This window comes from Homo sapiens, chromosome 12 (assembly GCF_000001405.40).
Source record: "Homo sapiens chromosome 12, GRCh38.p14 Primary Assembly".
In the NCBI taxonomy this organism is placed as follows: Eukaryota; Metazoa; Chordata; class Mammalia; order Primates; family Hominidae; genus Homo; species Homo sapiens.
In genome coordinates, this window is record NC_000012.12 from 26004698 (window position 1) to 26029945 (window position 25248).

The following is a 25248-nucleotide window of genomic DNA, read 5'->3' on the forward strand; positions in this document are numbered from 1 at the left end:
TGTTGAGTAGGCTGAGGAAGAGGAGGAGGAGGAAGGGGAGCTCTTCTGACATGACATGACTGGTACCTTCTACTTTTCTGAAATTCTGGAAAATAGGTTTTTAGCAAAATGAAATTATTAGTCATTGTACATTTAAATTGTTCATTGAAAAAAAGTAATACAATAAGTGAAAGGTATAAAATGAGGTGGTTCATGCTTATAATCCCAGCACTTTGGGAGGCCAGAGCAGAAGGGTCACCTGAGGCCATGGGTTTGAGGCCAGTCTGGGCAACAAAGGGAGACCCTGTCTTTACAAAAAGTTAAAAAAAAATGGAAGTTATGAAATGAAAAATAAGGTTTCATTCTTTCTCATTGTTTTTCCTCTATCCAAAGGTAATCCTCATTAGCAGTTTCTTGGGTTTCTCTGCAGAAAAAGAAATGTGTACATATAACGTGTATTTGTGTCTTTTTAAATTTTTACGGATGGGGTGTGTGTGTGTGTGTGTGTGTGTTTTACACTAGGTTTTTGTTTTGTTTTGTTTTACAGATTGATTTGTTTAATTGCCAGATTAATCTTAAAGGCAGATAGGATAATAGTTTGCAGGTTGAATTGGTGAGAGTTTGGTGACCATTTATTATTGGTTTGCATTCTTTCATTTGGCTGAGTTTGTAAAAATGGGGTCAGTATGTAATTACCTGACAGGTGTGAAACTGCAACTGATTCTACTCCTCATTGCACCGGTGACTGTCATCTTAATCAAGTCATTCTCTGTGACCTAGTTTTAATACGTGAATATTGAGACCGTGCCTATATTAACCTGAATGCAGTAGAGAAAATGTAAAAATAAGACAAGGTTAGAATATAAAATCTTTTTTTTGGTTGTTGTTTTTAAGCTCTACTAAGATAATTTTGCAAAGGCTATTTCTTTTATCTAAAGTGAGCTTTGTGAAAGTTATAATACTAGAATAGGATGAAACCCATCGTTTCTGCCTTTGAGGAACATATAGTCTCACCATGTTAAGGTTCATATCAGATGGGAAAAATACAGCTTTTATTGCCACATAATACCATATTATATCAGCTAATGCCCTGTCTGTTTCTCCCCTACTTTCTTTTACTTTCTCCCAGATTTCAGCTAGGCTATACTTGCTCCTTAGAAATTTTAGAAAAACTTGTCTTGAACCTCCAATTTCAATACTTGTGACAGTTTCCCTGTGATCTTCCTAAGTCCAGAGTTCTGTATCAGTTGAATGGTTTTTCATCTGTCTTTGTCATCTACTTCAATGTGTAGTCTTCGGTTTTGCCCTTTAAAGCTTTAAACGTTAAACCTTTCTCTTCCGTTGGTTTCTGTTAAAAGACAAATATGGGTGCATATGTGCACAGACACACACACACACACACCCTGCTTAGTAGACCTACCAAAGACCCAGGAGTTAGAAAAAAGATACTCATATTGTAGGAAGGGCAGCCTTGATTTCTTCCTGGTCTCTGGCTTCATCCTTATCTCTATCCTTTTCTTCTTCCCTTCCCTTCAGGATGTCCCAAGGAACTGTGTCTGTGTTCTGTAGTTTCAGAAATTGCCATATATCATCTAGAGTGATTAATCTGGGTGCAAGTCAGCTTCTCATGTTAATTAATTGTATGCCCTTGAGTACTTGGTTTCTCTAAGATCTCTTTTAGGTCTCTAAAACCTCCAGTCTCCTTACTTGAATATTGGATATAATGATATCTGCTTTAGTGGATGTTTGAAGACTAAATTATATATGTAAAGGACTTAGCATGTAAGCAATTCAGTGAATGATAACTGTCATCCTTTTTATTAAAATAGTACTGTTTTTCCCAAATGCTTGTCTCGCTCTAGACGTGGACTACATATATGTTTATACAAGTGGACTTTCAGTCTTTTATACTTAGGGGTAGTTGTTTAAACCAGACACTTTGGAGAGGGAACTAGGGCACTATTGATAATTACACCAGAATAACAGTTTAAACCATTGCTGTTCCAGGTAAACCAGGACCCATAGTCACTCTAGATACACGCTTCGTTTCTGACTCATGGTGCGTGCTCAGAGAACAAGGGCCCTTGTCCATTGAGTGGGACAGTGTTGGAATAGTGGAACATGGGATGAAACGAGGTCACATTCATCTTTCTTAGCTTTAGTTCTTACTCACTAAAATCGAGTTTAACAATACTTAGTTCATTTTGGGTTGCTATAGAGGAATACCTGAGACTAGGTAATTTGTAAAGAAAAAAGGTTTATTTGGCTTACAATTCTGATGTCTCAAAAAGTTCAAGATTGGGCATCTGGTGAGGGCCTCAGGCTGCTTCCACTCATGGTGGAAAGTGAAGGGGAGCCAGCGTGTGCAGAGATCACATGGGGAGAGAGGAAGTGCTTTAGGGGTGGCAAGTGAGGGGTTGGCCGGAGGGAGGAGGTGCCAGGCTCTTTTCAGCAACCAGCTCTGGCAGAGCTCATAGTGAGAACTCACTCACCATCAGGGGAGGGCATTAACCTATTTATGAAGAATCCGCCCCCATGACCCTGACACCTCCCACTAGGCCCCACGTCCCCACTGCCACACTGGGGATCAAATTTCAACATAACACCAGACTGGAGGAAGTTATAGGTGTCAAAGTTTGAATCTTTTGTAAAAGGAACAAAGCCTTTTCACCATTGTCTTTCATAGTTGTTCTCCTCACTAGCAAATCTGTCTCTCAGACCTGGCATTACCTAGACTTGAGGCTTACAGCATCTACTGGAAGGACAGGTAGGTAGTAAGTGGTAATAGTCATGTTGTATATACTGCAAGAGCAGAATGAAGAAGGTGCCTGGGAGCACAGAAGGAGCTCCTTCAACTGTGCAGAGGTGAAGGAGGGCTTCTTGTTTGATGTCAGTGTAGCTGAGTTTGTAAAGGTGAGTGGGTCTTTAGAGAGGCCTACTCTCACAGGAAGTAGCCTCTGCAAAGCCCAGAAAGGAACAGGGGCATAGTGTTTTTGGGAAAAGCAAGTACAGCCGAGTGTGGGCAGGGGATGGCTGACTTAAAAGCAGCATTCTTACTCTAGTTTAACAGAAACAGCCTTTTAGTGGCATTGGGCCATATGGTAATTGAAAGGATCAAAATTATTTACATAAGTACATAAAGTTCTAGTTGGAGGATAAGCAGAAGTAGTAACAATTTGGAATAACCTAAACCTCACATCTGTGTAAGTAGAAAAATTACATTTTTTATTCCTGATCATTTCTTTATCATCTCAAGACATTAAATATTTAATGCATCCTCATTCTTCAAAAGGATATTACTTTAAAATGTTCTCACATCAGGTGCGGTGGCTCACGCCTGTAATCCCAGCACTTTGGGAGGCCGAGGCGGGCAGATCTCAAGGTCAGGAGACCGAGACCATCCTGGCTAACATGGTGAAACCCTGTCTGTACTAAAAATACACAAAATTAGTCAGGTGTGGTGGCGGGCGCCTGTAGTCCCAGCTACTCTGGAGGCTAAGGCAAGAGAATGATGTGAACCCGGGAGGCGGAGCTTGCAGTGAGCCGAGAAAGCCACTGAATTCCAGCCTGGGCAACACAGCGAGACTCCGTTTAAAAAAAAAAAATTATCACTTAAATGTTAGATATAGATAGATAATATTAGAAGCTATACTGTTTCCAGCCAGTTGATGTAATGTTGTTCCATCCCCTTTAGCATGTTCTCCTGTGAGCTGCTATAGCTACTAGACAATTTTACTGTGTAAATTCTTTGCAAATTTGCCTTACTGGAGTGGGAATTATGTAAGGGATACAGTGATTAAAGATCACAATATTTTTGGTACAACAAATAATGCTTTCAGAAACACAGGCTGATATTGTCATTTGTATTCCATTTTGCTCCAAGGATCATTTGAGTGTATACTCTAAATCTTTCTTATGTTAAGAAGTAGAAATATAGTGATTTTTACATTAATAACAGAGTAATTTCTTATAGTAATATTTGTGTTCTCATTTGAACATAAAATAATGTCATATGGGTGGCTTGACCTCAGCTCTCTAGTACCATAGTGTCTGCTTCTGTTTAGGCATATTGCAAGCATCTGCATAGAATCTTAATTTTCTTTTTTACTTGGAAGGTACTTTGGAGATTCAGATTTGAGGTTGACGAAATCAAGACACAGAGACTGATATGCTCCCTCTAGCCTTCCCTTCTAGGTCAGGTCACTCTTTTATTCATCTTGGTGGTCCTGGTGCATAGCCAGTAGATAAAGCTCTGCCAAATGAGCAGATATATCTGTATATTCACAGAGCCTGAATTACAACCCAGATCTTTTGACTTCCAGATCAGTCCAGTGTTTTTTCTTGCACACTGGTAGTCCCCTGTGTACCACAAAATGGATTTCTGTAGCAGCATTCCCAAGTTTCAAGTTATATGATGCTTAGCTGCCAGCTATCATAACACCATCCTTTTCTCACAAGAAATCCAAGCTCACCGACGTGTTAGGATAAGGGACTATCTGGGCTGAGAACCAATGGATATATGAGGATGTTCTTGAATAAATTTTAATTCCACACTCATGATGGAATTTTGTGCTTTTCAATATGTTGTTAACACTTCTACTGATCAAACTATAGAATAAAGCTATACCTACAGGAGCACAGACCTTATTTCTAAGTAGTGTTTCTAGGCAGGAGTGATTCTGCCATCAGGGGTGTTTGGGAAATTGGTGAGGGAATTTTTGGTTGTCACAATGATGGGAAGGCTGTTACTGGCATTTAGTGGATGGGTGGTGGCGGAGATGCTGGGCATCCTGTAGTGCACAGGACTGTCCCACATAACAACTTCCAAATGACCCACGTTGGTATTTCCAAGTCATGAGACTGGATGAGATCCCCAAGGGAGTGGATAGAAATAGAGAGGAGGAGAGGACTAATGATTGAGACCTGGGATACTCAAATATTAAAAATTCCTAGAGCAGAGCAGACTGAGAAGGAACCCCAGTAAAGCAAGAGGAAAACCAAGAAAGTGCTGTGTCCTGGAAGAGAGTGAAGAAAGTAGATCAGGAGGAAGGAGTGACAAACTGACCCTTATATTTAGCAAGGTGAAGGTGATTGGTGACCTCGATAAGAGTAGTTTGGTTAGATGGTAGGGGCAAAAGCATGGCAGGAATGAGCTTGATAGAGAATGGAAAGTGAGAAAATGAAAGCAAGTGTAGACAATTCTTGAAAGGAGTTTTGCTGCAAAAGGAAAGTAATCAGTGGGAGGAGAGAGATCAGAAGAAGGCTGTTGTGTTTAAGATGGGTAAAATAGCCATTTATTCTTTGATTGAAAAGAAAAACTGATGGAGAGAGTGGTGGTCCTGGAGTGAGGGTGAGGGGGTGGCATCCTGATGCCCACAGGGTCCTGCCCCTGCAGTAGTACTGGTCTCCAGGCCCCCCACGTGCCATGGCCCAGGAATGGCTAACCAATGCCTAATCCATTCTGAGGCCTTGGGACCAGAAGGCTTCCTTACTGTCCAACATTTGTTCCTCTTTCATTTAGGAGAGTTAGTCAGGCACCAGCAAAGGGTTTGAGTTTTAAGTCGAAATTAAATTAGAAATTAGAAATTAGAAGGGAAGGTAGAACCAATGGCTTTTTCTCCGTAGGCAATGACTTGAGAGCAGCTGAAGTTTTTCCTTCTTGTCCCCTGGGGGACCATCTTTACCAAGATGGCACAGAGCCTGTAGAATAAAGCAAGTGAGTCATGCAGGAGGGCACGAAGTAGAAGGAGGCATTGCCCAGGGTCATGCAGGCCCAGTGCCAGCACATGAGAACGGAACTCCCATATATTTGTGCCCCAGCTGCCTAACCTGCCCCTCCTGATTACCCCGGCCCTGGGGAGGGCACTGTGGTTTAAGGGAAACAGTGGGAAAGCTCTTTCCTTAATTATCTCTTCTCATATTACCAGCTGGAGATTAATTGAATGTGCTTTAGTTTAATCTGATATTTCCTTTCCCCCTTTATATTTAGTTGACTTCAGTCACTTTAAGGAATAGGAGGAGGATGTGGTGAGGAGGGAAAGGAATGCTTCTGGGCTGAACAATTCTATTGTTGGTGATAGGAGAGGGCGGGGAATGATTGATTCTGGGCCTTTGCACAACTGAGGGACAACGTGAGAGACTTCTGTATACCTAAGATGCAGGCGAGGGGGACCTGGGGGATAGAAAGGAGATAAAAGAGGGTCAATCCTGGTCACAAAGACCAGAAAAAAAAACAGCTCCTCTCCACCTAAGTACCCTTGTCGTTTTTAAGTGTTGTAAGGGCCCTCATACCACTTTATCTTTCCTTCCTTGGAATCCAAAAGTGATAGATATCACTCACCTTGTTAATTAATCCCAGGGTTCTGCCCAGTGCAGATCTAAAAGCATTCTCCTGAGGCCATCTGAGGAATTGTCCATCTTTGTACATTAGAAACCACAGGAACCCTTACAGGAACGTCTACAGCATCTGGAAAATAATTCTCAAGGCATAAGTTTATATTGCAGTTTCTTTGGGATGAGGCCTGCTGCTATTTTGGTTTGTGTTAGCCCCAGTTCTGCCTAAGAACTGAGTCAGTCATGTGTCCATGGAAAGAAATCCCCATTGAAAATAGTAGGTACTGACTGTAGCCAGGATTGCATAATAGGTCCTCTTTAAGAATTTCCTCAGAACCTTTCCAAAAAGATTAGCCAGATGCTTCCCAGAAGAACTTTCCTCTTCCTGACGAGCAGTATTATTTTTGAGAGTGGTAGATGACTCTTCTAAGCCTTGCTTCCTCCCTGCCTGCAGTCCCAAAAACACCTGAGTCAAGTAACTATGATAACTTGACATAATTAATTAATTGAGTGCTGTGGTTTGAATGTTTGTGTATCTCCCCCATTCCCCCCGAATTCAAATGTTGAAACCTAATCACCGTTAGGAGCTGTGACCTTTGGGTGGTGATTAGGTCATGGGGAGTCATGAAAGTAGGGCCATCATAAATGGGATTAGTGCCTTCATAAAAGGCCCTGGAGAGCTGTCTTGCCCCCTCCGCCATGGGAGGACACAGCTAGAAGGCACCATCACTATCAGCGAACCAGAAAGCAGGCTCTCACCCGACGCTGAGTCTGACGGTGACTTGACCTTGGACTTTCCAGCTTCCAGAAAAGTGAGAAGAAAATTTGTGTTGTTCATAAGCCACCCAGTTTATGGTATTTATTATATTAGCCCAAATGGACTAACACAGTGACTCATGAACTTCAGTTTAAATCTAGTGTCTTTAAAGCTTTGTTATTTTATGCGTATCATATCTGTGATATATGTATAACATATAATAACATATCCATGGCATATAGTAGGCCTGTAGTGAATGTTTTTTGAAACAATTAGGTACAATGTGTATTGTTTTTCTTTATCTTATTAGGCAGTAGAGTATATTAGTTAAAGTTCTGGTTCCAGAATGCCTGAATTGAAGTCTCGGCTTTTCCTCTAATGAAGTGTGTGATCTTGGGCAAGTTTTATAACTGCTCTGTGCTGAGTTCCTCTTCTGAAAAGCAGAAACAATAATACCTACCTTACAAGATTATTATGAGACTTAAATAAATTGACACATTCAAAGCACTTAGAACATCTCCCGGCATATATAGTAAGAATTTAACAGATATAACAAAAGCTCTCAGGCATTTAATATTTAAAAAGTGAGAAAACCAAATCTCCTCTTTTTCCTCAAATAGCAGTGTAACTGGCAATGAATATTTGAGTATTGATTGTGTGAACTGTCATTATTTAGCCTTTTTTCAGTGGCTATAAACAGCTTCCTGTGTTTCTGAAAAAGGAGGAATAGACATCATCTCCTCATCCAGTCTCATACCAGTGTATCACTCATGACACCTAAACATAACTATATCCATATATTATTTATATCATTGTTAATTATGTGAGTTGAATTTTTAAAATATGTGGGCCTATGATTAGTATCCAGATTTGTTTTTTCTGGGCGTGATGTTCCTTCCATGTGAGGCCTTTTTTCTTTTTTTTTTTTTTTTGAGATAGGGTCTCACTCTGTTGCCCAGGCTAGAGTGCAGTGGTATGAACATAGCTCACTGGAGCCTTGAACTCCTGGGCTCCATCAGTCCTCCTGTCTCAGCCTTCCATGTAGTTGGGACCACAGGCCACCATGCCCACGTAATTTTTAAATTTTTTTGTAAAGACGGAGTCTCACTTTGTTGCCCAGGCTGGTCTCGAACTGCTGGGCTGAAGCAATCCTTCTGCCTCATCCTCCCAAAATGCTGGGACTACAGGCATGAGCCACTGCACCTGGCCTCACGTGAGTTTTAAGAGCTGTGCCAGTTTGCTCTGTCTTCTTGCTCTGTTCCTACATTCAAATTTATAGAATCAAAATAAAGGAGAGTATATCTCCCGGAGCTAAAAACTGATCAGGTTTTCATGTAATCAGCAGCATGTTTTCCACAGGATCCTTTGTTATTGGCAGTCCTGCCCAATAACAATAAAAAGGCCTGTATTCTCGCTGTGTGGTGTGTCTGCAAGACTGCCTTGCCAGCTCTTTCTCATTTCTAGTAATTCAAGTCTAGTAATCCAGTAAAACCATAAGAAAATGTGGCTTCTCTAGTGATAGCCACCTGGTGGGACAGTACTTTAAAATTCATAAGACACTTTTAAGTAGTGAGTATATTTTAATTGCTTATAGCAAACCCATAGAGATATCCTTATAGATGAAGAAATGAGCCTCCATGAGCTTAAGGGAGTTCAGGATTATATGGTGCTGTGAACTCAAGTCCGCTGATTCTTTAAATCCTGTGTCCTTCTAGTTTTACTATTTTCCATCAAATTCACTCAGGCCTGGTAAAATCATAGTAATAACACCTGGAGTAGTAGCCAGGCCTCTTCATTAGAAATCATAATCATGGAGTTATAATTCCAATAATATTGTACAACTTGTTTGCTGTTGAAAACTTCACTTTTTTTTTTTAATAATAAAAGGACCAAGTTTACTTTTACCTATGTTGTTTATTCAAACTGGTTATATATCATAAGCATTTTCTAACTAGCTTTAAATTTTTAAAGATGTTTTTCTAATATATGTATACTTTGTTATTAAGTTTCATGTTGATAAAAAAATCCTTTTTCCTTTAATGTGGCTATTGTTGAATAGGTCTAAATTAAGACTCTGAAATTCTTCGTAGTGTAATTACCAGTTTTTATTCTATACTTGGCAGGTAGGTGAGTGGTCCTGGGAAGAATGAAATAGTTCTATTTTGTAACCATTATTTTTCTAAACCCCATCTGAGTAAATGGCACATTTTTATATTTTGTGGACAAAACTCAGACCTGTGGTATTGGTTTGAGGAATATGAGAGTGTGGACCTTTGTTGCTTTGTGAAATTGTGTTCTTGTGCCCTGCCTGAGCTGCCAGTGCCTTTGTACAGCAGGTATAGGCACAGCCAGCTGGTGCCTTGTGCCCGGTGACTTGCCAAGTGGGTGCTCACTCACTACAGCAGCAAACTTCAGCAAATGTGTTTTAACTAATAACGTTCATACTAGCGATGAAAACATATGTATGTGTTTCCTATGCCCATGGCAGACATAATTAGTTGATCATGGTATGTGTTCATGCTGAGCCTGATCATCCTTTTAAGCATCACATTCTTGGCATGTACAGTCAGACACTCAAGCTTAGTAGGCAAGATAAAACGTATGTGCTATCCTTGGCTCTAAATGTGTCTGTGTTAACTTTCTCCCAATATGTTTTGGGAAATAATAAATACGATAAATTATTGCGGTGTTTTATAGGAAGAACAGACACACAGCATTTTTCTGTATGTCTTGATTGGTTTGGACAGTTGCACTTAATACAGGTCATTTTCATTTTTAATAGCATGTAAAAGTCTCCATGTCAAATTTTTTTTCAGGTTGATTACTGATTCATAGTATGTATTTATTTGAAAATTATTTTTCAAATAGATATTTGAAATAAGAAACAAATTTTGACAATACTCATAGTTTGCCATGATGAAATTAGATCTTTTTATATAATTAGCAGAAACTTTGAAGTTTTCATTAAATTCTAATCATAGAACAAAAATGCTAATCCTTTGAGAATTGAATTTAAAACTCTGTGATATGGCTGTAATTGTGGAAATAAAAACTTGTTAAGATTAGGATTATAGCTTTTGTTTATTTGGTCCTTTTTCCTTTGAGACCTTACTATACTTCAGTGGAAAACAGCATTAAAAAAAAAATATTCCATACAGGCTGGGCATGGTGGCTCACGCCTGTAATCCCAGCACTTTGGGAGGCCAAGGTGGGAGGATCGCTTGAGCCCAGGAGTTTGAGACCAGCCTGGGCAACATAGTGAGACCCCGTCTGTCCAAAAAAAAAAATAGAAATTAGCCAGGCATCATTGTGTGCGCCTGTAGTCCCAGCTACTTGGGAAGCAGAGGTGGGAGGATCATAAGCCTGGGAAGTCGAGGCTTCAGTGAGCTGAGATCGTGCCATCGTACTCCAGCCTGGGTGACAGAATGAGATCCCGTCTCAAAAAAAAAAAAAAATCCATATATGGTCAAAAGGTATTTTAGGCTCTCTACTGATCCCTTGGTAAAAGATGCTGCACCTACTGCAAGATTATTGAGGAGCACTTTGTCATGGAGATCAGGGTTGGAATGTTTGAGCCAAAGACCACAAAAAACTGACAGTAATCAATTATCGTTCCTGCCTGCTGCTTAGCGTTTACGTTTCTAGAAAATGCTCTCTTCAGTTTTCTCCTCTGAAATCTGAGACACAGAGCCGAGAAATAGAAAATAGTTTATGTCAAAATATTTTTCCGTTGATAGGCCACCTGACAAGCAAAGAGATTGAGGTGAAATCTCATCCAAATTAATGTGTGAGGCCGTGGAAAACTGCTTATGTTTTGTGTACGTCTTTAAAGTTAAGTAAGATTATACTTGAAGTTACTTATCTCAGTTTGCAAAGAAACAGAAATTATACCTACTTATTTTTTAGTGATGTTGTTAGAATAAGAAAACAATACCTAAAGTTAGCGGACCTATTGTGTTGTAAGAAATGCTGATTTGGATGTGCTTTGGAAAAATAAACGAAATTAAAGAAAATAACTCATTAGCAATGTTTTTTTTCAGGTTTGCTTTGCCTGTTCAGTGGTACAATTTCTCTTTTTTCTTTATTGATAAGAATAAAGCTGTGCATACTTTAAGAACACAAGGCGGCACTTCTCTATAACTCTGTGATCACATGATCACAGACCCCACTAACTAACTAATGGTTACTTTCAAGTGCTTGTGGCCAGTTGGAGTTTATAATTTGTTACCAAATCACTAATTATCTTTATTTTTAACCTGTATTTTGCCTGTCGAGCAGTCATAATCTCTAAAATTGGAGACTCAGAACCTTCAACTATAAAGAGTTTGTTTAACTAGAGGCAGGAAGAGCTGATTTTCCCTTGAAATGCATGGAAAATTCATTCATTTTTGTTTGTTTTAAACTTTTAAAAATCTGGAGTTATTAAGGGCTGTTTTTGGGTTTTTTTTTTTTTTTATTTGTTTGTTTGGTTGGTTTTTGTTTTGCTTCTGGATTATATAAAATGAATCTCCCTGGTTTTAAAGTCTAATAACCAGTGCTTTTGCTTTGCTGTTTTTGCTTTGGTTATAGTGGTCCTTTAAATAAAGAGTTAGCTTCTCCTTTGGCCTGAGATTTTAAGATCTTCCCAATAATCTTTAACTGTAGCCCTCATGTCCAGATGTTTTCTTGCCGTGTTACCTTAATATGCACATTTTTGCTGCCTGTTCTGGAAGTTCACAATTTGGAACCTGGGGTACAGGAAGGGGAGTGATCTTTTTGTTGATATTGTTATCTACATGTAAGAATCTGTGCGAAAGAGCTTTATAAATTGCAGATTTTATATTGAGTGGGCAAACTGTTTTTAGGTAATTCTAACTATAAAATATAAAATTTCTAAAAATCAACAGACTTCCTTCAGAGTTTAAGTTGCTTATAAAATTAGTTTGTTGGCAGTTATCCACGTCAGTCCATTTCATAAGGTGTGAAAATATTTTCTTCTTCCTCTTTTTCTTGCCTAATGTTACTTGATTTTCATCTATCCTGTTGAATAGTTGTTTATTTTTGTGATTTTCTACTCACATTAACAAAACAGGATAGATAATGAAAATATCATCTGAAGTTCATTCATTAGTTGAGATCTTTTTCTTTTCATTTCTAGTGGTTTGTAAAATTGACCTAATTCTTTCATTTATCTGCTGTGTACAAACTAGACAAGTATTTTTTTCCACAAATTTATTTGCTTCATGTTTTTAGTACTTTCCACTGGAATTTTTTTTCCTATGTGTGAATAATATTAAATGAGGAAACATTCTTACTTGGTTTTCTTTGATTTTTCATATGGGAATAAAAAGCTATTTAGCCATAAGTAAATGAAATATTTTTTTAAAAAAATTTTTGGTTGCTTTTGTCTTTATATCAATATTGTTAATTATAAGTAGGAATATTTATCCTAAGTTACACAAAGAAGAATTAGAAAACAGTGCTTTCTGTTGCACATTCATTTGCTGGAATTGGATATCAATCTTTGTCCAATCAGGAGAGAGAAACTGCATGATAATTTGAATAGGGAAAGTTTAATGTAAAAGCCTATAAATATAACCAGGGATTGGAAGTTAGAGATTGATAAGAGGTGAAGAGACTCTCAAGAATGTAAGACTAGCAGATGTAATATTATATAATATGAACTTAAGAGCTACTACTACTAAGGCTGAGATAGAATGCCCAAAGAAGAGGCCCCCTGGGACTGTGATCCATATCATGTTGGAGAGGGCCTGGCTCAGGCTCACTGGAAAGCAGAGAAGTCACCTTGTTGATGGAACTTACCAGTAATCCACTTTACTAGGGAGGTGTCTTGCCAGGGGCAGTCTACCAAAAACGCACCCAAGGTGAGTGTTGAGGGAACCTGCTGGTTGCTGCTGGCTCTTGTACACTGTAGGAGCTGGTCACAGGAGAAGCTGCATTTGCTGCAGGACCTGCAGACTGGGGAAGCCCCCATGCCACAGGAGGACCCCAGAAAGCAAAAGCCGCTCCTCTTGCCCTTTCCTGTGTCTCACTAGTGCCCTCTCTTGGCAAAACTTCACATGGAGTGACTATCTAGGAAAAAGTATTTTAAGGGTCCAGATCCATTTTCATAAAACAAGCAAAAAGGTTGAAGTTGGAACAGAGGCAATCATTAACAGCCCACACAACCCGAAAAGTCTTTCATGGTGAAAAACCCTTTCCCTTTCCCATTGGCTATGATAGTTTGTGAGATCACGTGATTTCATTTCTACTGAAATGTCTGTAAGAGTTATATGGATTGTTAGACATACTGATTTATTAACTTTTGTTAACATTTATTAATATTTTTCATTGGAGGATATCTGTATTCTTGAGATGAATCTTTGAGAATTTCTGTGTCACTATAAACACCAGTTTTTGTTTACTTTTTTTAAAGGATTGCTTCATTTAATCATGTTTCTTAGCTATATCCATTAGAATATAAATTTAAATGCTATGCAAGTCATTTAAATTTGTGTAGCAAATTTAGCAAATTTGGAGCTGCCTATGAAGATTTTATTCTTAAACTATTTTTGAAATAGCTCTAGAACCTTTTTTTAATAAATCAATTTTTTAAATTTAAAAATTCTTTACATTATATAACTAGACTAAAATTTTCTAACATGTCACTTTAACATTTTTTTATTGACAGATAAAATTTATGTACTAAAAAAACTAAACTAAAAATAGGAATTTTTATAAAACCAAATGTGGATCACAGCATTAGTAACCATAGAATGTGATTTTAATTTCTTAGAGGATGATAAAGTTGTCAGGAAACAACACTTACAACTTGGAATCACTGACCAGCAATTACATAGTTGCGAGAACCAGCAGAAAGGGGGTGTAGGTGACCCTATGTTGTTCTTGTTGTACCCCATGCCACTCTCAGAGGAAAGAGGATGAATACTGGGTCAAACCAGGGATAATTACCTGCCCACCACAGGAGTCATTACAATGAGGAAGTAAATTGGCAGATTTGATACGGCCCCAGACCCAGTGTCTGATGTTGGCCTCTTGGCAATCAGATAAGTTATTTAGAATAACTGCTTCATGAGTTGCTTGAGTTGATGCATCCAAACTTGCCCAGTAAGCCTTTCTCAAGAGCTGGACTAAATTCTGGTAAATCTGGTCCTCCCATGCATCATGGCTAAGTGAGATTATTGACTTCCACCTGGCTTGGTTCAGCCATAGTGGTGAAGTGGTGTGGTATGCTGTCTTTTAATCAAACAGACATTTAGAGGAGGTCTTTTGGGTCATAGGTGGCATGGGGATGGATTGCACAAAGGTGACTGAGTAGTTAGTTGGCTCAGGTTATTATGGAGTGATCGTAGCTGTCCCTTGGAGAGTGTCTCTATTATGAGCAGTACAGAGTATACTCTATTGCGCTATATTCTTTCAAAATAATCTTAGTAATAGCAAAAGCATGTCACATGAGGTAAGTTTTGCTCATGAGTGAGTTTAGGAATGCTGTTTTTAAAGACCATATGACTATAAAAAATAATATAGAAGCAATTTCTAAAAGAGGAGTTCAAATATATTTTGAGAAGGAGCAAAAAATAAATAAGTATATATTTCCCAAATCGCCTGCCTTAATAGGTACAGCACCCATCTGCACGCATGAAATTATATATTAAATAAAAATGTAGTCTCATTACATTACAGCCATTAAAATAACTGTGGTGCAACAAAATCTAAACTTTCTTATGGCTCCCAGAACAGACTAAATAACATAAATGTTCTTCAGGCACAGGCTTGTGTGGAAGTTCGGGCATACACTGTGTGTGTGTGTGTGTGTGTGTGTGTGTGTGTGTGTGTGTCTGTGTGTGTCTGTGTGTATAACTAAATTGACTTAAAAGAAATCTTGAAATTTAAAAGGATTCCTGGTTGTAGAAGATTTATCACTTTGCAGAAGGGTACCATGTTATTTTTAAAAATTATTACTATTTTTTATTATGTCATATTGTAGCCCCAGTAGGAGTTATTTTTCCTTTAAAGGAATGTTTGGATTAGGCAAAAACATGGATTTTAATGCTGTATTTTAAACTGTGACTTAGATAATTCTCTTATAAGGGGGAATTAATTTTTCTGGATATTGATTGGTTGATAATTATTTTTAAACTATGTGTCTCTGAGGTACCTCAGAGCTACAGCTTAAAATTTGCAGCTTTATGGCATTTGTCTAGGATGTAACAGGAAGAAAATGAATGTGTTAAGGATCACATTTGGTGTATATCTCAAGTAAATTCTTGTCACCTTTTATGGCAAAATAGAGAATATTACTGTATATAGCAAAATAAATCAGTTAAAAATCTGGAGAAGAGGGACTTACCCTGAATTATCTTGGTGGGTCCTTACAGGAGAGTGGTAGAGGCACAGAAGATGATGAGGCTGTTGAACTGTGGAGGCATAGATTAGAGTGACGTGGTCACAAGCCAAGGAACACCTGAAGCCACCAACAGCTTGAAAAACAAGGAAAGCTTTCTCTCCTGCAACCATTGGAGGGACCCTGGCCCAGCTGGCACTTTGATTTCAGCCCAGTGAAAGTGATTTTGAGCTTCTGACCCCCAGAACTATGAGAGGAAAATTTTTGTTGTTTTTATGCTCCCCCAGTTTGTGGTAATTTGCTACTGCATCTCCAGGAAACTACTGCACTTTGTACTGAAACAAATGTAAAAATAGATTGTAAATATAAAATAAACCAACCATAAGAGAAAACACTTTACAAAGAGATTGAAACTTTTTTTTTAAAAGAATATTGTTTTCAGTGCGGGTGAGGAGGTAATGAGACATGAGCTGAGCTATCTGCTGTGAAAGTGAAAACTAAATTGCCAATATGGAACAAAATTATGCAGCCGTTGGAAATTATATTTAAACAATATTTAAGTTTAAAAAAAAGACTACCATTTAATACACAGACTTAAAAATTTACTTACATTGTGAACCAAATTTTAAGTATCTATTTCTAGGGAAAAAAGTGAAATAAAAAAATACAGTCTGTGAAGTTAATTTTCCTTTGTTTAAACCTTGCTTTTCCACTTAGCTGTGTGACCTGAGAAAATTTCTGAAGCTTTTGGGGCCTATGTTCTCATCTATAAGATGAGGAAAGTAAAACAACATGTGTATCTTACGAAGGACTAAATATATTAATATTTTCTAAGCACTCAGGGCAATGTCTAGCACTTTGTAAAGTTGCAGTATTTGTTTTTTGTTTATCATAACTATTGGAATAAAATGTAAAAATCTAGGAGAATTCTTTACTCCAATTACTTCGAAAATCTTTTCCTTCTTTCTATACCTAAAATATAGAAACTGGAGCTCCCCTTTGAAAATGGCAGCTTGAGAAGTTGCACAGACCTGCTCCACAGCAAAACAAACATAATTGGTAAAAACTATTTTCAAAAAAAAAATAATAAAATTACTGGAAATTGTCCTACAGACACTCAACAAATGAAGAAACATATATTTAAGAAAATCTAAAACTTGGTCAGAACAGCAAGTCCTGCACTTGAGCTATGACCCACTCTGCTATGGTTTGAATGTTTGTCCCCTGCAAAACTCACATGGAAATTTAGTTGCCATTGCAACAGTATTAAGAGGTGAGACCTTTATGAGGTGATCAGGTCTTAAGGGCTCTACAGATCCCAATGAGGGGAAACCATATTTCACTGGGAGAGCAAACTGCTAGCATTTATCATCCCCTCCAGCTTTAAGTTACAGAGGCTAAACTCCTGGTGAGTGTGCCAATGTGGTCAGAGGTTCTCTTCCTCCACCCAGCCCCTACGCATAGGGCAGAGTTTCTACCCCAGGTGTGGCAAGCCTAGAATACTGGGGCTCTAATTGCCCTCACCCCACCTTGCTTGTAAGGTGCAGGTCTGTGCAGCTTCTCAAGCTGCCATTACCTTGCTTGTAAGGGAGAGAAGTTCAACACTGAGAAAGGCAAGCCAAGAATACCAAAGACTGCTCCCCCTACCCAGCCCCCAGAGCAGTGGCTGAGAGATTTTGCCCACTGAGAGAAGCAGTCTGTAAGAACAGAGAACTCCAAAAACCCTCCCCAAAGGAATTGATTTTATTTGAAGCACAGTGTGGGGAACTTCAAGCCTAAGGATGCTTTCAGAAACGAGAGGCTTTGGTGGTAAGCAAATAAGAGCCCACTGCTAGCTTCTTTTAAGAGCAGTAGGCTAAACATAGGCCAACTAATTCACAAAAGAGAATCAGAGAAGGAGCTAAGAAGAGCGCTCCCTCTTGAGGGGTCAGATCAAACCTCAAAGACTGGCCAAAGAACCCCACCCCCTAGTTTATTTGGATGAGACTGTGAAACAATTTATACTCTAGAACATTGTTGAAAACAATAGAGCAATCAGCTGGGAATTGGTTGAGCTACAAAGCTGAGCGGGATACCAGATGAGGCAAAAGAGAGATAAGGGAAAGAGACAGAGTCCTGCTAACATGACACTGTCATTGCTGGTAACTGTGTGCATGCCCAGTGCTGACCCTCCGAGGAGTAGCACCAAAGGCTTCACGCTGCAGGAGAAATAGACTTCCCAAAATAGTCAAGTTACTCAACAAATAAAGCAACAAAGACAAGCCCAGAGAGGGAGGAGAGGTCTCAGTAAATTCAGTTGATTAAATACATTACCTAAAATGTCCAGGTTTGAGCAAAAATCTGACACATGCAAAGAAACAGGAAAGTGTGCCCCATACACAAGAAAAACAGTAAACAACAAATTATGAAAGGACCCAGATGTGAAATTTAACAGAAAAAACTTAAAGGTCAGAGGAAACCATCCTTGTAGAAGTAAAGGAAGATATGATACACTGCCTCATCAAATTGAGAATATTGGTAAATAGATAGAAATTATAAAAAAATTATAAAAAAGAATCAAATTGAAATTCTAGAGTAAAAAGTATAATAACAAAAAAAATTTACTAAAGGGGCTCCACAGTTGATTTCTTTCTTTCTTTTTTTTTTGAGACAGAGTTTTATGCTCTTGTTGCCCAGGTTGGAGTGCAATGGCGCGATCTCGGCTCACTGCAACTTCCGCCTCCCGGGTTCAAGCAGTTCTCCTGCCTCAGCCTCCCGAGTAGCTGGGATTACAGGCATGTGCCTTCACAGCCTGTAATTTTGAATTTTGTATTTTTAGTAGAGACGGGGTTTTTCCATGTTGGTCAGGCTGGTCTCAAACTCGCGACCTCAGGTGATCACCCACCTCGGCCTCCCAAAGTGCTGGGATTACAGGTGTGAGCCACCATGCCTGGCCAGTAGATTTCAACTGGTAGAAGAAATAACTAATGAGCCTGAAGATAGATAGGTAAAGATTATGCAATTCAAAAGACAGAAAAAGGAATGAAGAAAAATGAACACAGCCTCAGAGAAAAATATGGACATCATTAAGGGCACTGACCTATGTAATGGGAGTACTACAAGGAGAGAGGGAAGAAAAAGGAATAAAAAAATTAAAAGAAGTAGCTGAAAACTTCTGAGATTTGATAGAAAACATTATACACTCAAAAAGCTCAACAATTTCCAAGTAAGATAAACACAAAGAGACACATCATAGTAAAAATGCTGAAAGATAAAGAGAAAATCTTAAAAAGCAGCAATAGAAAAGTGTTATTGCTTAAAAGGAAACATTAAGATTAATAGCTGACTTCTCATCGGAAACAATGAAAATCAGAAGTCAGTGAGTGGGATCACTTTCAAAAAGCTGAAAAAGAATTTTTAACTAACAATTTTATGCAAAATGAACACATTTCCAGATCAACTGAACTTGAGAGAATTTGTTGTTAACAGATCCATCTTAACAAGAAATACTAAAGGAAGTTATTTGGGATAAAAGCAAGTAACTCCAGACGGTAATTTGAATCCGCATTAAAAACAAAAAAAACAAAAAACAAAAAAAAACAGGAAAGGTAATTAGTTAATTACAAAAGATAGTATAGATGTGTGTTTGTTCTTTTTTTATTCTAGTAACTGATTTTAAAAGAAATTATAAAAAAAGTATAGATTTGATTGTTGAGTTTTCAAAAGATGGAGATGTAATATATTTCATAACACCAACACAAAGGAGATGATAGGTGATGCAAAGATGTATTGGAATAAGGAAATTATACCACATGATAAATCCACAGGAAGAAATGAAGAGAACGAGGAATGGTAAATAAGATTAACATAGCAAATTCTGTCTATATGCTTGCCATTCTTACTTACCTCAGCTCATTTATTTGATAGTCAAATAATTCTACAAAGTAATAAGTGTAATGGCTTATTTTGGGGTTTGTAAGGTACATAGATATTGTCTTACATAGTATGTATCACAATAAAGACACAAAAACTGGGAAGAGGAAATACTTGTACTGGAATAACAATTCATTATTTTCTTTTTTTAAATTTTGAATTGAGATGAGGTCTTGCTCTGTTGCCCAGGCTGGTCTTGAACTCCTGGCCTCAAGCAATCTTCCCACCCCAGCCTCCCCAAATGCTAGGATTACAGATATGAGCCACCACGCCCAGCCTGGAGTAACATTTCTGTATCTCATTGGAATAAAGATCTCCTCACAAAGAAAAGTCTCCGTCCAAATGGCTTCACTGGTAAATTCTGCCAAACATTTTAGCAAGAGTTAATACCAATTCTTCATGAACTCTTCCAAAAGTAGGATAGAACATGTCTCAGCTCATTCTGCGAGGCCAGAATTACCCTGATACCAAGACCAGACAAAACTTTACAAGAAAACTACACAGCAATTTTTAAATAAATACAGATGCAAAAATTCTCAAAAAACACTTGCAAACTAAATTTAGCAGTGTATAAAAATGACTGTACACTGTAACCAAGTGAGATTTTTCCTAGGAATGCAAGGGTTGGTTAGACATATAAAAGGTCAATTTAGGCCGGGCGCTGTGGCTCACGCCCGTAATACCAGCACTTTGGGAGGCTGAGGCAGGTGGATCACTAGTTCGGGAGATCAAGACCATCCTGGCTAACATGGTGAAACCTTGTCTCTACTAAAAAATACAAAAAATTAGCCGGGCGTGGTGGCGGGCGCCTGTAGCCCCAGCTACTTGGGAGGCTGAGGCAGGAGAACAGCATGAATCTGGGAGGCGGAGCTTGCAGTGAGCCAAGATTGTGCCACTGCACTCCAAAGCCTGGGCAACAGAGCGAGACTCCGTCTCAAAAAAAAAAGTCAATTTAATACACTACATCAATAGAATAAAGAACAAAAACTACATGATTATTTCAATAAAAAAAGCATTTGACAAAATTCAACACCTCTTTATGATAAAAAACATTCAACAAACTAGGAATAGAAGGGAACTTTGTCAACCTGATGAATGGCATATAAACACACGCACACACGCAGCCAAAAGACTGAATGCTTTCTCCTGAAGATCAGAAAGAAGGATTTCCACCCTTGCCATTTCTATTCAACATTGTGATGGAGGTTTTAGGCGAGACACTTAGGCAAGAACATGAGATAAGAGGCATTCAGGGCCAGGCGTGGTGGCTCACGCCTGTAATCCCAGCACTTTGGGAAGCCGAGGCGGGCAGATCACGAGGTCAGGAGATCGAGACCATCCTGGCTAACACAGTGAAACCCCGTCTCTACTAAAAATACAAAAAATTAGCCAGGCGTGTTGGCGGGCGCCTGTATTCCCAGGTACTCGGGACGGCAGGCTGAGGCAGGAGAATGGCGTGAACCCGGGAGATGGAGCTGGCAGTGAGCCGAGATCGCACCGCTGCACTCTAGCCCTGGGCGACAGAGTGAGACTCTGTCTCAAAAAAAAAAAAAAAAAAGCATTCAGATTGGAAAGGAAAAAGAACTAACTCTGTTTGCAGAGAATACTACCTTGCATATGGAAAAATCTTAAGGAATTCATTAAAAACCTATTAGAACTATTCAACAAGATTGCTGGATACAAGATCAGTATGCAAAATTTAATTGCATTTCTATATACTATCAGTAAACAATTGAAAAATGAAATTCAGAAAATATTTCTATTTATAATATCAAAAAGAATAAAATGCTTAGGAATAAATTTCACAAAAAATTGCAAAAGTTATACACTGAAAACTATAATACATTGTTGAAAGAAATTAAAGACCAAAATAAAAAAAAAGACATCTCATGTTCATGGATCTGTTGGATATCCAAGTGCAAAAGAGTGAAGTTAGCCCCCTATATACACGTATATAAAAATTAAGTAGATCAAAGACTTAAATGTAAGAAGAAAAACTATAAAACTCATAGACGTAAACTTAGGCATAAATCCTCTTGATCCTGAATTAAATAGTAGTTGCTTAGAAATGACATCAAATGTGCAAGCAACAAAAGAAAAGATAGGTAAACAGGACATCATCAGAATTAAAGATTTGTGTTCACATGACACCATCAAAAGTGAAAAGACAACTTTAATGGGAAAATATTTGCAAATAATTTGATAAGGAGCTTGTTTTTAGAGTATATAAGAACTTCATCGTAAAAAAGACAAATAGTCCCATTAGAAAATTGACAAAGTATCTCAGTAGACAAATATCTATGTACAAATGGCCAATCAGCAAATGAAAAGATGTTTGACGTTATTAGCCTTCAGAGAAATGAAAATGAAAATAAGATATGATTTCATACTAAGTTGGCTGTAATATTAGTTAGTTTATTTTTTATTTTTTGAGATGGAGTCTCGCTTTGTTGCTCAGGTTGGAGTGCAGTGGCGTGATCTCAGCTCACTGCAACCTCCACCTCCCGGGTTCAAGTGACTTTCCTGCCTCAGCCTCCCAAGTAGCTAGGATTACAGGCACACACCACCATGCCCGGCTAATTTTTATATTTTTAGTTGGGACAGGGTTTCACCATGTTGCCCAGGCTGGTCTTGAACTCTTGACCTCAAGTGATCCGCCCACCTCGGCCCCCCAAAGTGCTGGGATTATAGGCGTAATATTAATTTTAAAAGGCAGCTAATAAGGAGTGTGAGTGAGATTGTGAAGAATAAGAACTCTCATACACTGTTGGTGGGAATGTAAAATATTACAGCTACCTTGAAAAACAGTCTGGCAGTTCTTGAAAATGTTACACATAGAGTTATCATATGACCCAGCAATTCTGCTCCTAATTACATACCCAAGTGAAGTTAAAATATATGTCCATGCAAAAAGTTGTACATGAATGTTCATAGCAGCATTATTCATAATAGCCAAAAATAGAAACAACCCAAATGATCTGAATTAATAGATGTGATATAACAATACAATGAAATATTATTTGGCAATAAAAAAATGAAATACAGATATTTACTACAATATGGATGATTCTTGACCACATGTATGATTTTATTTATATGAAATATCCAGAGTAGGCAAATCCATAGAGACTGAAAGGAAGTAAATGATCGCCTATGGCTGGGGATTTGATGGGAAATGGGCAGTGAATGCTAATAGGTATGTGGGTTATTTTTTGGGTAATGAGAATGTCCCAAAAGTAACTGGTGATAGTTCCATAATTTTGTGAATATATTTAAACTATCAAGCTGTATGCCTTAAAGTGAATTGTATGGCATGTTAATGATATCTCAGTAAAGCTGTTGTTTAAACAAACAAACAGAAGCTGGATAGCACCGATAATTCACCATGGGTATGATTTAGGCAAGAAAGACACTGAAGGGTCAGCAGGCCCTCACTTAAGAGTTGGCCTGACTATAAAAATATTGGCAGATGAATGGGTATTTATCTGGTTAAAGTTAAGTGTACAAAATGCTTTCATGTTTTCATGATTCACTGCTTTAACCTGCTTTTATGATTAACCAGCCAGTTACCAGTCTCAACTGTGCTAAGAGACTTCTGCTGTGTGGTTGTGGCCTTGGAGCTGAGAATTTCCTGGAGATTAGATTGGAAAGTTACTAATCATTAAGCCATTGATAAGATTAAACATTTATTAAGCACCTATTATGTGTTAGGCACATCAACATGTAGTTTCAGTTGTTGAAGCCATGAGTGTTACTTTGGTCACCTAGGGAGAGAGGGGATAGAATGAGAAGCATAGAGGACTGAGCCAGAAATTCAATAATGTTAGCCTGAAAAAGAACAGCCCAGAAGATGACAGAGGGGAATGACCAGATGGGTGGGAGAAGCCATGGAAAACGGGATGTAGAAGTCAGGACAAAGGAGTGGCTGTGAGGAACGTCAGCTGTGCAGATGCTCTGGGGACATCAAAGATGGTGCAAGGAAATAGGAAACAGTATGAAGAAAGCCCATGCAGCATCGGGGTCTTGGTGAACCTGTTGGAACTATGTCATTGGTAAAGCAGGGGACAGATTATAGTTGATTTGGGAATAATGTGGATGAATTATAATTAAAAGAATTTGAGACTGTATAAATTTAATTTGTGTGTTTTAAAAGTGTTTCACTCAGAACTTCATTTTCTTTCCCTGTACTCTTTGGAAGTATAGGTGATTTTATTTTCTAAAAGCCTTTTTCATTTTCTGAATATCTTTTAATGAGCGTACTTTTCCTATGTAGTTAGAGAAAAAAGTTGTTAGGTATCAAAAGATATGATGATGTGTGATAACCTTATTTGCCAGTGTGTTGGAATGTGAGACAATGAATTCTAACCAAGTATTTCACAAAGAAATTGCTAAGGACTTCTACTAGGCTGCTAAGTACCTTTTCTTTGGGATTTCCTTTGGTGCTACATGGAATAAATACTGTGCTTTGGAAGGTTGTAATTTCTTGGTAATCATAAATGTCTACATGTTCCTTGGCCACGTACATGAAATTATTAAAAACCACTCTAACCTTTGAATTTTACTTCTTGCAGCTACGGTAAGTGACAATAAATAGAATTGGGCCCTCTTAACTAACAGAATTGAAACAAAAGAGGTTGAAACTTTTGGTTGTCAGCTCCTTCTTGTATTATATGTAAGGAGGGGTGAATGAGGAAGAGTGTACTGGGTATATTTTGTATAAGGTGCTATGATGAATTAAAGGTCTCTTTATTATATGTAAGGAGGGATGAATGAGGAAGAGTATTTGCTGAGTATATTTTGTACAAGGCACTAGGATAGATTAAAGATCTCTTTCTCTCCAATTCTATTGTAAAAGTATATGTTGAATTCTGGAGGAACCCTGGCTAATTTGCTTTTTTAAAAAAAGCCAAATTTGGTGCACGATACTTAGGTTTGACATGCAAAACTAATTGAAAAAAGCCGTATAAAATTTTACTGCAGTGTTAGTTGAAGAATGTCCAGGAGTGGTTGTGTTTATGATAACAGTAAGAATTCTGGAAACCTCTTCCAGTTTTCTCCATTATCCCTCATTAGCATGGTGCTATTCCACAAGTCTCTCTTCTACCAGGGAACTGCATCCTGTCCCTCGCCCCTCAGTGATTTTTCTCATGTCTATCATGTAGATCACTTTAGCCTCTCAGGCTGTTTGCAGCTCTCCTCTTCTCCATTACCAGCATGTCTGCATTAGGGAGAGGTGTGGGGCAGGTCTAGCCTCACATATGTTTTAGCTGGGGAAAGAAGAACATTGACAACCCATGTTATTTTTTATTGTATTCCTTTAACAAATACACAGTAAGTGACAGTGCTTCAGAAGCCCTGCTTTTTAATCTGTCTGGGGAAGGGTGACCTCTGGTGGCTAAAACCATAAGCCCCAATTTCAAGAAACAAAAAGATTTCTTTTTACTGTTGTTTACATTATATTCATATGTTTATGTTTTGTCACTTTTTATAATGTACTATATATTCATTAGAAGTAAATCAGTGTCTTCTGCCACCGTGTTTAAATGCGGCATCTTCTGTTAATCATCAGCTGTGCTCTGTACTCATGATTGGCCTTAATTTGAGATCCAAAATATTTCCTTAACAGATTATTTTTTGTTCTGAGGAACAAGATCATTTCCTTGGCACTCTTTTGTTATTAAAACTTAAAACTTCTCTGTTGGTTTAAATGTTGACCATTATTATTATAACAGAAAAACAGTTTTACCCACTGGTTAAAGGAAAAAAAAATCAATCTCAAACTATGACGTCCGAGTTATACTCCTGGCTACTATTTATCTTTGAATCAGCCATCTAACCAACATTTAATTGGCTTGCTTCCTCAGAGATATTTATTCTTAACTTGTTTAGTCTGCCAGTAAATGACCACCAAATCGTCAGTTTT

At 38.2% G+C, this 25248-nt stretch overlaps 1 protein-coding gene and 2 long non-coding RNA genes across 17 annotated transcripts in view; 1 reads left to right on the forward strand and 2 right to left on the reverse strand.

The window, feature by feature from the left end:
- RASSF8 (Ras association domain family member 8) overlaps positions 1 to 25248 on the forward strand; it is a 121658-nt gene that overhangs the window by 46466 nt on the left and 49944 nt on the right. For 2 of the 15 annotated variants that reach the window (NM_001394100.1, XM_047428191.1), the window contains exon 1: positions 7022 to 7124. The exons of 12 other annotated variants lie outside the window; for them this stretch is intronic. The gene's annotated coding sequence lies outside the window, so the exon portion shown is untranslated. Of the gene's footprint in view, positions 1 to 7021; positions 7125 to 23056; positions 23378 to 25248 lie in introns of those variants that run through there. One more of the 15 variants, XM_047428192.1, reaches the window with a different exon arrangement.
- LOC107984501 (uncharacterized) lies at positions 25 to 1251 on the reverse strand. The gene is made up of 3 exons (XR_001749051.2): positions 1164 to 1251; positions 676 to 797; positions 25 to 85 (listed from the first exon to the last, which is right to left on the reverse strand). It is a non-coding gene; the product is annotated as an uncharacterized LOC107984501 (long non-coding RNA).
- On the reverse strand, positions 5251 to 6691 carry LOC124902901 (uncharacterized). The gene is made up of 3 exons (XR_007063248.1): positions 6602 to 6691; positions 6320 to 6445; positions 5251 to 5679 (listed from the first exon to the last, which is right to left on the reverse strand). It is a non-coding gene; the product is annotated as an uncharacterized LOC124902901 (long non-coding RNA).